The 13495-nt window shown below is 48.7% G+C and overlaps 1 protein-coding gene across 6 annotated transcripts in view, besides 1 other annotated feature; it reads left to right on the top strand.

The window, feature by feature from the left end:
• Positions 1–13495, top strand: part of GALNT18 (polypeptide N-acetylgalactosaminyltransferase 18) — a 351129-nt gene that overhangs the window by 202993 nt on the left and 134641 nt on the right. The window lies entirely within an intron of this gene.
• Positions 9646–10147: an enhancer, noted in NCBI's record as "H3K4me1 hESC enhancer chr11:11430413-11430914 (GRCh37/hg19 assembly coordinates)". NCBI's record gives its function as "activates a minimal SCP1, AML or CMV promoter by ChIP-STARR-seq in naive and primed H9 embryonic stem cells {active_cell/tissue: H9 hESC(naive and primed)}" and the evidence as "EXISTENCE:reporter gene assay evidence [ECO:0000049][PMID:30033119]".

The following is a 13495-nucleotide window of genomic DNA, read 5'->3' as shown; positions in this document are numbered from 1 at the left end:
AGCACCTGACCTACAACTAGGGTAGTGACCTGGTTCACTGTGTAGGTCCCTCCCACTCTAATGGGCTTCCCTTAAGGGGCATTGGGCAGTTTGGGGCAGGCAGCCCTAAAAACTAATCCAACATCCTCATTTGACTGGAGAGAAAACTGCGATCCAGAGAAGTTAAGTGAGTTTCCCAACATCACACACCTAATTCATGGCAATGCCTAGAGACCAACCCTGGTCCAGTGCTTTGCTAGCTGGACTCATTCATTCAACAGACATTCACAGAGTGCATTCTCAAGTGTCAGCCATCACGCTCAGCACACCAATCCAAAGACCGATGAGAAAGTGTTTCTGTCCCCAGCGAGCTGGCAGCCGAGTGCAGATGATAACACTCAAATAAGCAAAGCACACAAAGCAAAGTGCTGAGTGCCATGAGCCACAGGTGAAGGGAAACTGTGCTGGAGAAGCCCAGAGGAGAGATCTCAGTCACTCTGGGAGGGCTTCCTGGAAAAGCTGGCATTTGAACTGGGCCTTGGTGATTGAATGGATTTGGGTAAATGGAGATGATGATGGAAAAAGACAGAACCTGCCTTTGTTTTTGAATCGTCTTAATTAGGGAAGGAATCAACATGATAATTTATTAGGTACCTGCTGTGTTCCAAGCACTGTGCCAGGCATATTTACACATGGCTTCTTTAATTTTTTCAGTATTTCTCCCCATCTCATAGATGAGGAAACTGAGATTCAGCAGTAACTTAATCCTAAATAGAGACAACTTCTTTGATTCCTTCTTCTCTCTTTCCTACAAAGCCTCACCCGATGCTGTATGCCCCATGAGGGCTCAGTGAATGACTCTGAGGACTGAAGGGAAACAGAGACAGAAACATGGGGATAGAAGAGTTTTCAAAGTCATAGGGGAAGGCAGCACTCCTCTTCCTTAAACAATGCATGGCTGAGCACAGAGCCATTTAGTAGTTCTATCATCAGAATACATGTCTTCCTCGCAGGTATATACACCCCGCCTTCAGGCTGGTATATTAACCTAAGTGAATACAGACAAGAGCTATTTGTTTTAGCTAAGCATCTTTCATGTGTTAGCTCATTTTTCCCTAAGGACATTCATAGGAGATACATCTTAGTATTATTAATACCATGTTCATTTCACAGATGAGAACGCTGAGGCTCAGAGAAGCTGCAGGTTACACAGCTGGGAATGGCAGACCCAGCATTTGAGCCCTAGTTGGATCCAGCTGCAGAGACTGAGTCCTTAACCTTGTTCTATGCTCAGGGGTCCTAAACTCAGTTGCCTAACAAGGCTAGACAGTGTGAATATGGGATGTGGGCCGATGCAAGGCAATAAGGAGTGGTGGAAACTGGTGAACAAAAGAATGAGCCCAAGCCCTCCTGAGAGGGGCAGCCAGCACTGTCTCCAGCCTATTGCTGGCCTGCAGGACTGGCAAGTTTTCTCAAGTTGGAGATTCACACTTTTATGCTTGGTGGGCTGAACAAGACACATGGGCAGGTCAGATATGGCCCTAGTCTGTCTGTCTGCAGCTTCTGCCATATTGACTCCCACTTTGAGAAGCAGAAGCTTCTCTTGAAATGCTTTTTATCTCAGGCATCCCTGTTGAAAACCCCCTCTTGCACTCTTTCCTCCTTTCTCTCCGTCTCTCTCATAATTACTTGTTCTTCACTTCTCAGAAAGTAGCCACTCCAGATAGGCTGAATTAGCCACTCCTCTGTGCAACTTTCCTTCACTGTGTGCACAATTTGAGGGCATCATCGTTGGCTATATGGTTTAGTTCCACTGATTCAGGGAGGCCCCTTCTGAGCTGAGCAGCCGTTTCAGAAAGGCGCATGGTTTTGCAATGGTGGTGTGGATTCTGTCCCTGGGTTGTAGACTCAGATGCCATCCTGGGTGAGTCACTTCCCTGAATCTTGAGACATTGGAAGGAACTTGAATCAGGTTCCCTGGTCCAAGTCAGGAGTAGGAATAGATGTGGCCAGTGCCTGAGAAAGCCGACCAGGCTGCAGAGGAGTCACATAGAGGAAGGGTCACTTAGGACAGCTTGTCAGTCAGGTGGGGCTCATCTCAGCAGGACTCTGCCCAGGAGCAAGGGCTGGGGGAGGGGATGGGGCAGGGCTCAGTCCTATTCATGGGTTGGCTCAGGGTTTGGGCTGCTATCATTTTGAGGTGCCATGGCTCGCCACGCTGCCCTAGCTTCCCTAATTCCCTTCCCCTGTGTGGCTTCCTCTTCCTGCACTGCCTGTGACCTGCTACCCTGGGGGATGGTTGTGGAGTATGTCTGTGGTGGCTGTGGTTGGTGTGGTGGCGGCTGCCATCTGGGAGTAAATAACCACAGCACGTCAGAGCTGAACAAAACTCAGGAATAGATCTTGGGCCCCGTGCTTCTCTCATCCAGGGAAAGGAATGTGAGTTGGAGCTTTACAAAAGCAAATCTTTAAACCTTTCCTCACCTGATGAATTTGATGGGGTGACAGAAATGAATTAGAAATTAAGTAGGGGCTCAGAGTTTACATGAGCTCCATGCCAAATGGAAATTAAAAAGAGTGTCTCCAACAGGGTTAATGGTGAAGGTCAGGTTCCCAGCATCCTTGGCAGGGTGTCCCGACCCTGGTCTCGGGAGGAAATTGACTGAAGGATCCTGCTGATGAGATCAGGAGGTGCAGAGCGGGTTCTCCATCAGACAGTGGGAAGGAATTAACTTGTCACCAAATGACATTCAGTGATACAACAGAAAATTCCAGCAATGCAGGGACGATTTTAATGCCAGGCTACCCAGTGGTAGCACTGACTCTCCACATTTCCCTAAGGAGCTTAGACATTGAAGAAAGGAATGTGTCTGCATTGGACGAGGCCTCTGGCTAATTCACAGGCCCACTTCCTCTGGACTGTGTCTGCGAGCTTGTCTGTGTTGTCAAATTTCATTTGGCTTAAAAATAAGAACTAATGCAGAGAATCAAAGAAAACAAAGTTGTTTGCTGAGTGTTCCTGACCAGGGCTGCTCAAGCATGAGGCTGAAGTGATTTTATTTTCTCCGAAAAGAACATTCAAGGTTGCTGTTTAATCTTTCTGGAGTGAGTTCCCACAGTCTTAGGTGCCCAGCTGCTGCCCTCTAGACCTGTGTACTCCATATTCCTATGACATGTGAGTCCAACAGTGGAGAGCGTTGCTGCTTGCTGAATTCCTGAATTCTACGTGGCAGGAAAAACAAATCCCACCCTCCTGCTTTGCAAATGAGATGGGTGGATGGATGCATGGATGCATGGGTGGGAAGACGCATAGGTGTGGGTGGGAGATAGATTCTGTCTTTTCTGTTCTATGTTTTAGGGTTTTTATGCCCACTTTAGATGAAGGGATTGAGAACCATAGGAGCTGAGTCACCAAAGTTCTCACTGCAAGATGGTGGCCAAGCTAGGGTTTGTGCCCACATTTCCCAGCTCCAGGTTCAATATGGCTCTCCTCTCCTTTCTCATATTTCCCACTAGACTCTTTTTGTTTTTACTTATGTATTTCTTTAACTGCCTTGTACCTAGAGACAGACTCACATGAACTTGGAGGACCTACTTATTATACAAGTAGGTGGCTACAAGGACACGTTATTTTCTCATTCGGCAACTATTTATTGATCACTGTGTGGGCAGAATTCTAAGTCATCCCCCACCCTTCCCAGCCCTGATTCCTGGGAAGTGGTGTATATTCACTTCGCCGAGTTATTCAAGCAAATACTAATCTGAGTCCTGCTGTGAGGGGAATTGGCTGACGTAATTAAGGTCCCCAATCGGTTGGTTGGGCCTGACATAATCACATGAACCTTCTGAAAGCAGAGTGTTCTCTAGCTGATGGCAGAAGGGGAAGTCACAGAGATGTACTCTGGTGGCCTGAGAAGAGACCCATGCTGTGAACTGTCCATGCGGCAAGGAGATTGGGCAGCCTCTTGTTGCCAAGAGCATTCCCCAGATGACAGCCAGCAGGAAAGCAGGGACCTCAGTCCTACAACTGCGAGGAAACGAATTGTGCCAACAACGAGTCAATCTCAAAGAGGACCCTAAGCCCCAGTTGAGAACTACAGTGCTGGCCAACACCTTGATTTCAGCCCAATGAAACCCTGAGCAGAGAATCCAGGCTCATTGTACCTGGACTTCTGACCTATAGAAACTATGAGATAATAAATTTGTGTTGTTTCAAGCTGCTCAGTTTACAGTATTTTGTTATGCATCAATAGAAAATGAATCCATCACTAACCGTGTGCAAGGCCAGTGTGCTGTACACTGGGAATATGAGATTGACCCAGTCCCTGCTCTTACAGAGCTCCCAGCGTAGTGTGGGAGACAGACAAGAAACAAATGAAATTATTACAGGCCATAATAAATGCCTTAAAAGACATAAAAAGAATGATATGAAATAAATCTAATGTGGGGTGGGGAGCATGCTTCAGGTTAGATGATTGGAGAAGGCCCCTCTGAGCTTTAAAGGATGGAAGGAGAGAGCCATGTGAAGAGCATGGAAAAGTGTTCCAGGCAGAGGGAACAGCACATGCAAAGGCCCTGAGGCAGGAGGTAACATGGTCTCAGAGCCACAAGAAGTCCAGTGTGGCTGGAGGGTGGTAAGGAAGCGGGAGGATGGCTTGAGATGGTATTGAAGAATTAGGCAGTGGCCTTGTCATGTGGGACTTTTTAGAATATTACTTTCAGTGCAATACACAATGCTGATGAGCTTTCAACAAACAAAAGTATGCAAATGGGCATTTTTGAAGCTCTCTCTGGCTACTGTGTAATGAATAATTTGGGAATGGGTAAGAGTAGCCACAGGAAAATCATCTGGGAGGCTGTTGCGATGCTTCAGGCAAGACATGATAATTGTCTAGGCTGTAATGGCTGTAGGGAGAGAAAAGTGGGTACATCCGAGATCTATTTGGACTTGCTGATGAATGTAGGGGATGAAGGAAAGGAAGGAATGGAAGATGCAGCTCAGGTTTCTAGCTTGAGTGACGGGGTGAAGGACAGTGCAGTTTGCAAGATGGGCCAGACAGAATTAGAGGAAGAACAGGTTTGGTGAGTAAGATCCAGTGTGAAGTCCTGAATGTGCCAAATGTGACCTGCCTGTGAAACAGCTGAGGGACGATCTTTAGGGGGCATTTGGATAGATGGGCACTGCTGAACAGAGCGGATACCCAGGCTCTCGGAAGAGGTCAGGACAGGCTGAGCCTGGCTTGGCTGCACAGCTAGCTCCACAGTCATCCTCTTGAAGAATGGTGAAATACCCTAGTTATAACACAGCAAGGCTTCAAAGAACCAGGGCCTGGACCCCTGGAGTAGTCAACTTCCCAGACTCCCTCTGCTCCATGCTGGGGCCCCGGGTGCAGCCACAGACCCAGAGTGGAGGCTTCTGGGAAGGAGTGGCTCTGATATAAGCTGACACCTCAGTGAGTTACTTCAATTGTTCTGGGCTAGTGGTACGGTGCATTAAGCACCAAATTATATAAACCTGAAATTGCAGTCTAATGTTGTTAAGGGGCCTGAGGGAGCTGGAGAAGAATGAACGTGAATAAGGAATCGTCCGTAGGATGATCAAATCCCTGATTAAAATCACCTCCCCAGATCAAATGGCCTCCAGAGAAAGTAGAGAGTGCCTCTGAGTCCTAATGGGGCATCTGCACCTCCAGAGGGATGTTTGGCCAGACTATTGCTTCCCCTCCAGGGCCACTCAGTGCAGAAGAGCTTCCCACCGGGGTCCTCAGGCATGCACAGCAGCCAGCTAAACAGGGCCTGAGCTACACGGTGCAGGGCTTGTCCCAGCTTCTCTAGCTTCTCCTTGGAGAGGCTGTTCCCCCAGAAGCAGACTCTGAGACACAGATTCAACTGCATGCAGTTTATTCAGGAAGTTCAAGATATGCCAGTGGGGTAGGGAGATAAGACAAGGAAGGGAGACCACCAATAAGAGCTGCCAGGCACCACTGTGGGAAGATCTTAATCCTTTTGGGATACTCTGGGAAATAGGTGTAAAATTCATGCCTTAGAATGATCCCCCTTGAGAGAGGAGGGAGCTGGGGTATTTATCCACTAGCTCCCTTCCATCATTGGTTGAGAGTTGCTTTCTGGGGGTGTTAATTTCTAGCACTTCAGCCTTCCACATGCTGGGGCAGAGCAGCCTTCTGTGCATTTGAATGAAGCCCATGGACAAAAGTTCTGATAATTAAATGTGGTGAGATAGGAGTAAGGAGGATGGTTAGCAGGGAGCACTTTGAAGAAAGGAGGCTCCAAGGATATCAGTTGGGCATCAACAGCATCTGCTACAAGGTCCATGCACATATGTTTTGACACTTTTAAAAACTGCATTTCTAAAAGCCTTGGGATATTGACTGTGTCCAAATCTACACAGGCCAACTGCAAGGCATGCTGGAACCTCTGCAGGTCATGCAGAGACCAGGGTTAGACCTTGTTAAGCAAGACTGTGGTTTGAGCACCTCCTGTCCACAGTGCTTAGAACCTGGGGCTCCATTTAGTTTTGTGACTGTGCAGAGTAGGGCCATCTGATGATGGACAGAGCACCTGTGTGAAGCGGTGGCTTGGGTTATATAAGACTCAGTCAGGCTGGGGTAGGGATCGGGGATCCAAAGCTTCAGCAGTTTTGAAGCATAGTCCAAACCAGGTCTGGGGGACCAAGGGTAAGGTTCCATCTCTGGGAAACACTTTGGCAAATTCTAGTAGGGGTCTAGTAGGGCCCTAGCTAACAAGGGTTTCAGGTCAGACCAGAGAATGCAAACCTTAAATTGCAGTGGAGCCACACGTATAAGGCCTAGGTACACTTTGGGGAAGTGGGATGGAAGCATGGTTGGCAACGGTGTTGAAGGCACTCCCTTGGCACCCCACATACCAGCTGGAGCCACGTTACTATAGTGGATGCTCTTGGTGTCCCATCCAGATCCGTTTTGCTGGCCAGTTCACCTATCCCCAGGTGCTATGAGTGTTGGTGGCCAGAAGCTCCAAGCCCTACCTTTTTTGAAATTTCTGTTTCCAGGGATGCCTCACCCCAAAATGCCCGGGATATGAGGTCCCATTCCCCAATATGGCCCAGAACCAGTGGCTGACCGATATGGGTGTCTAAAAATTCCAGCCTTGCCTCGGATGGGACAACTCTGAGATGCGCTTTATGCCCCAGGGCTCCCTGTGGGGTCAGAGCGAGGCTAGACTTGAATGGTGCAGCTGTTTGCTCAGCCTCTTCCCCTGCCCTGACTTGCTTCCCTCACTTGCTGGCCAGGATTCCTCAAGGGCCCTTCCTCGGCAAAGTGTTTATTTAAGAATCAGGAATCTCCATCTCATGCTCCACCTTGAGAGAGCATCTCTAATATTGTCCCATGCCAAGATAATGTGAGCAGTTCCAGGCTGAGCAGGTGAGAGATTTGCTGTAGAAGGATGGCCGTCTGCCCCAGTTGGCCTTTCAGTGCCAAAACAGGCACTGTTCTGAGCAGACCAAGAAGATGGGTCACCCTATGTATCAGCATCTCAATCAGGATGCATTGAGCTCCCGTGGAGCCCAGAGCTGTACTAGATTCTGTGGGAGCCTAAAAGAAGCAGGAGAACATGTCTTTCATGAAATTCAAGGCTTATAATAAGCAAGGGCTTATTTCTGCAAACCTTGCCCTCTGTCCTGGGGATTTCAGTTCTAGTATATTCAGATCACTCCTCGTGTGTAGACAGCGGGAAAAAAATGTTGTCCAGGCTGGAAGGCAGTGGTGACCACAGCTCACTGCAACCTAGATCTCCTGGGCTCAAGTGGTCCTCTCACCTTAACCTCCCGAGTAGCTGGGATTGCAGGCATGCACCACCACACCCAGCTAATTTATTTTTGTTTATTTAGAAACAGGGTCTTGCTGTGTTGCCCAGGATGATCTCTAACTTCTGGGCTCAAGTGATCCTCCCTCCTCAGCTTCCCAAAGTGCTGGGATTACAGGCATGAGCCACTGCACCCAGCCTCCACTAAGTTCTATGAACCTGCCAAGGGCTGTGGCACCCAGGAGGCATTGACAGAGTCAAGCCAGGACCCCACTGTCTCTAACATGTCCTAGCAGGAGGCTGTCTTGGAGGGTGCCAGTGTATAGTTCCCTATGTATACTGGGGAGGGCTTGAGAGATGTTGTCTCAGTGACAGCTAACAGCTTGGGTTAAGTAAGGGTCACCCAGGCCTTTTCACTTGAAGCACCAAGGGCTGCTGCATTTCTGGAGACGCAGTAAGACAGGAGACAGGAGCCACCAGTTCTGAGCCATAAAATTAGACAGCCATCGTTCAACTAAAATTCCAGACCCAGGGGAAAATGCCTCTTAGTGTGCATATTATCTGCAGCAAAGCAAAGCAGACTTTCAGGTGTGTCATTGAAAACTGCAGGGGTGAGAAATCTTGAGAAAGTTTTAGCAAGCAAAGGATGGTAAATGGAAATTAATTATACAGTGCCCCTGATTGCTCATTTAAGACATGTAAAAATACCACCGATGTGCCCTTTAATTCATTTGCTGTCTTTATTATTTGAGTATAATGAACATAAAAATGTGTTAGGGCTTTTCCTAGGTTTGCTTCTGAACTCACTTCCCTTCCCCCCAATATTCCACACAATCTTCAATCCCCCGACCGCAGGATCTGATGGCAGGGTGCTGGCAAGGAGCAGGTGGCACTCTCAAAGTGGGTAATTTGAGCAGTTTCATCAAGAGATGAGTGTAGAGGTGTGAGCAGGATGCAAGGAAGCTGCCAGGAGGGACAGCACAAGACCCTGGGGCTAGAAACAGCAGGAATCCCTCCTACTCCAGGCCTGAAGGGAGAGAGGACACAGGGAAACAGGAGCCAGCACAGGGAGTCCTTGACAGGGAGAGGCTGGGAGATTAAACACCCTCTCTCTGAGTTTCCCACTGTCTCTGATCCTCCCCTGTGGGAGGGCCAGGGAGCCCCGTCCAGAGAGACAAAGAAGGGTGGGGAGAGGCGGAGGGTGCCCAGCCCATGCTGTTGTCTTGGCTGATAGTGCTGCAGGGCGTAACCCTGGTAGTGCAGGGAGCTTTGAGTTAACTTCTAGTTGCTCCAATGGAGTTTAAGGTTTAGCTATGGACCTGTCACTGTGTATTAATCTTTGTTTACATAGATAGCAGGGATAGAGGTGACCTCAGACAAGACAGACAGAAGTCAGCCCACAGAGGAAAGAAGACCTGAGACTCACATAGCAGAGGGGACTCAGGACTTGGTCCAGTCCCCTTATTAGTTCCCCGTTCCAACTCACATAGTAATTTGGGGACAAAGCTAGAACCAAGGACAACATTGAATAAAATGCAGGGCACAATGACTGTCTTTAGAAAGGGCTGAGATCAGAGATTCCTGCATGGAGCTGCCTCTAGTGACTGGGGAGAGCATGGAGCTGGGGTGGGGGTGGGCAGAGAGGATACGGGGAGTTATCTGGGTACAGATGTATCATGGGGCTTCACTTTGGGGAACCGGGGTCCCCTAGAGGACCTGGCTGAGCACAGGAAGGCTGGCTTGTGGTGAAGATAGAGATCTGACGAGTCCCAGGACTGTGGCCGGGTGGAGTCCCAAACTCTCTCCAGGCCTTGCCCTTTAGCCAGACCAGACTGTGCAGAGAGCAGAGGCGGCTTTGATTCTGGGACCTGCTGGGCCTGCCCTGTGGGAGGACAGGGATACAGACTGCCTTTAGGGAGTTCACGCACTAGGAACCCAGACACTGACTGAGTTTCCTTCCCAGGATTTGAGCTGCTGACCCTGAGCAGGGAGCTGGGGAGAAGAGCATCCTGGCTGCCCCCATGAGCCAGTAGCTAGAAGCAGGTGGGCAGAAGGCCACCAGCCACCAGCCTCCCACGCCTCAGCAGGGAGTGGCATCTGTTGGTAGCATTTGGAAGGAAATGCTGGTTTCACCTCTAGCCTGTGGTACCAGGGCTGTTTTTAATTAAAGACACATTCCCTTGAAAAATACATCGTGACACCTCAATGCCTCACCACCACGTCAAAGTTGGAGGAGTTGGTGATTAGGACGCACATATGTGTCTGTGGGTTGCTGCTGTTTTGCCTTTTGGAGCCTGATCATCTGGGCTCACGTGTCAGCCTTGAGAACAGCCTAGGAATGTAGTTTTTCACTGACCCAAATCAAGTGGTTCCTTTGCAGAGCACTGCTCTGACCCTGGCCCTGTGCCATATATACTCATCCTGTGTCTTCAAGGAACTTATGGTCAGGGGTGAGGGTGGAGGCTCCAGACGCCATGGAAACTGACTTGGGCCCAGTAGGGGCTGTTAGCATGTCAGATCAGCACTGGGTCCTAGCAAAAATAGACCTTCCCTCCTGCCTACGATGCAGGTGTGGGTGCCTTGCCAGTTCCCCACAGAGACTGAGGGGGCAGCCTCTTTTCCTTTATATAAGAAACATTTGTTTAAGTGGGAGAGTAGGAGTCACAACAGGTGACCCCAAAGAGACGGCGACTCTTGGAAGGCAGGAATGCGACTTGGTGTGCATATGCCTCCTCTGCCCGACTCACCTTCTTCCAGAGTCTTCTCTGCATAAATCTTGGGTGCTCTCTGATCTGTTCATTGAGAGGAACATTCCCCTAGGCCACATGGCGGTATATTCCTTTTTTTTTTTTTTTTTTTTTTTTTTGAGATGAAGTCTTGCTCTGTCACTCAGGCTGGAGTGCTGTGCCACGATCTTGGCTCACTGCAGCCTCTGCCTCCCGGCAAGCAATTTTCCGGCCTCAGCCTCCCAAGTAGCTGGGATTGTACAGGCGCCCGACCCCAAACCCGGCTAATTTTTGTATTTATTAGTAGAAATGGAGTTTCACCGAGTTGACCAGGCTGGTTCAAACTCCTGACCTCAAGTGATCCGCCTGCCTTGGCCTTCCAAAGTGCTTGGATTATAGGCGTGAGCCACCACGCCTGGCCAGTAGTATATACTTTTTAATGTATGGTTTTCTGATTACTGTTTTGTATAATTTCTCTCTCTGGGCAGCTCTATTGTAAACTCCTCAGGGAGAGGGCTACATCTTAGACACAATGTTTCTTATAGGGCGCTCAGGACACACTGCTTCAAGGAGTGAATGACTGCGGGTGGGGCCTCCACTCGGTGCATCCAACAGGCAGCTGGGAGCTCTGCCCTGGCCTCCCTCCCTCTCTTCTGTGGAGCAGCCATGGCTTGCCGCTCTTTACTCCTGCTGCTCGTAATCCCAGGGGATCTGGTCCCTTTTCCTTTAGCTTTCCAAACCTTTGTTTGGCCATGCTCCCTCTTCTCCTTTGCCCTCCTTTTAGGTTTATTAAGTTCAGTGGCCAAATAAAGTTTTGCAGCTCCCTTGTCCTGCAGTGCCTCCTGACTGTCTGGGATAACACGGTTACTGGGAATATCTCCTCTCCTGTCCCCTAAATCATCTGGCAGCATTGGCTGGCTACATCATGCAGCTGACTTTGAGAACACTCCGCAGTGCTGTTTCTGAATAATAATAAATGGGGCTGAAGCCCAGTGGCCTTTGCTATTTATCTCTGGCTCTGCAGAACAGAGACGTGTGTGCTGAAGTGGCACAGGCTGTGTCTCAGCGGTGGTGGCTCTCTCAGGGGAAGGCAGCTTCCCTAATTGCCTCTTCATTGCAGAAGTGGCCTGGTCTGTTTCCTCAAGGGAATGTTTGCTAATCTGATTGGAGGGTGCTTTCAGCGATTCAGCACCAGCCTTTTGCCTGGTCTGTCAGAAAGCCACACGATTGCAAAGAAGGATGACTGTCAGCTGGACACGCCAACCTTTAAAACCAGCCCCTGCCATCCACAGCCATCCTCAGGCACTCCTCCCCTTTACGGCCTTGGCCTGAACACATTGTCTCTGCCTATGACGTGTAAAATCCCAGCTTGTTCCCAAGTCCTGGGCTTGGCAATCTGCTGGTTTAAATCCATTAGGCTCAGTACTTTGGCAATGAGCTTGCTTCCTCCCTGAACTGAGTAGGTTCTTTCTCCACTTAGGCTATTCTAAGCTGTCCTAAGGAAGGCCTCCTCCTGGTCCAACCTGGCCCCGAGACCCTCACCTCAGTGCAAACCCTCCAGGGATAATATTCCTCCTGGCCTCACCCTCTTGCAAAGAACCTGAAGACCCACACCTATGGGGCAAGGCCTTGGGCTTTCTTCCAAAAGGGCGGGGATGGGAACATCCACTGGCCAAGGACATGACCCTGGACTATATTTGACTTTGATAATTCCCATGTCCTTTCTGTTCTGCTGGCTTTTATCTCAGGCATCTCCCATGTATTCTGATTATCATATTTGTTTTGATGACTGTGATTCCAGAATATGGCTTTGGCCACATTTTGAAATTATTTTGGTATACTGCCCCGACTTGTATGGCATTTTAACCCTCTGGGTCCCTGGTGTTCAACTTTGCCTTTATTGTACTGCAATGGCAACTGGGAACCATCCCTTCCTTTCAACATGGCTGAAATAGTACATAAATGTCGAACCATTTCTGCAAGCGACTTTGGAGATGGACAGGGGGCTGGAAATATCAGCGTTTTGTGATACTTACCAGCTTTCAGTTCATTTAGTATAAAAAGTTAGCCCTATGGAGACAGAATATTTCAACCTTTAACTGTAATTTGATAGTTGTCACCAGATACCAAGGTGGAAAACCAGAAAAGGTACAATAAACAGCTGAGCTGAGTCATTACAACAGACTCTTATCTTGTAGAAACTGCAGACATTATGATGATTATCCTCCTACCTACCAAAGGAGGGTTGTCTACAACAGCCCTGGCAGCCACTAACCCAGGCTATATGCTTAGCCCATAGTAGGTGCTTGGAAAATATGGCTATTATTTTAAAATTCAATGACATACAATTGCTCTCACAGATATATTTTTATTAAGATGATGATATAAGTTACACAGTTCACAAGGAGAAAATCACAATAGGGAGATACACTGTGGGGGAATGTTTATCCTCATGTAGCTGTTTGGGACTCTCCGATCTCTCTGCTATGAACCTCCGTGAGATGAGATGTGAGGCTTCTGGTCCAGCAGGACTGCCGACACCTTGCTTGTTGTAGAGGACCATGTTGAAGGTGCTAAAAATCAAATTAGGACTAGTGCAGCAGTAAGGCTGCCTGCAGCAAGAAAGACATGCAGAATATAGGCATAGCATGGAAGGATCACACACCCATATGTCCTCCTTGCCACATAGAACTCTTACCCATCGCTGCATGAGTAATCTTGACTTTTCTCACTCTCAGGAAACGTGAACTTGCTCTCTTCCATCTGATAGCTTCTAGGCATTGAAAAGATATCTCCCAGCTTGCAGATTGGACAAAAGGCGCCCTCAGAGGGCCCCCACTTGTGGTCTGCATTCGGCGCGTCTCTCTAACTTTCCTAAGGAGAAAATGTGATCCTTTCCTGTGTTCTGAGACTTGCCCCTGACAAAGAGCCCTCTTGCTTCTATGTGGTTCTCTTTGCTCTAAATCCAAAAGCCCATGGAAGAAGAG

Source organism: Homo sapiens, chromosome 11, assembly GCF_000001405.40.
Source record: "Homo sapiens chromosome 11, GRCh38.p14 Primary Assembly".
In the NCBI taxonomy this organism is placed as follows: Eukaryota; Metazoa; Chordata; class Mammalia; order Primates; family Hominidae; genus Homo; species Homo sapiens.
Note: the sequence above shows the minus strand (reverse complement) of the source record. Positions and strands in the feature narration are given on the sequence as shown.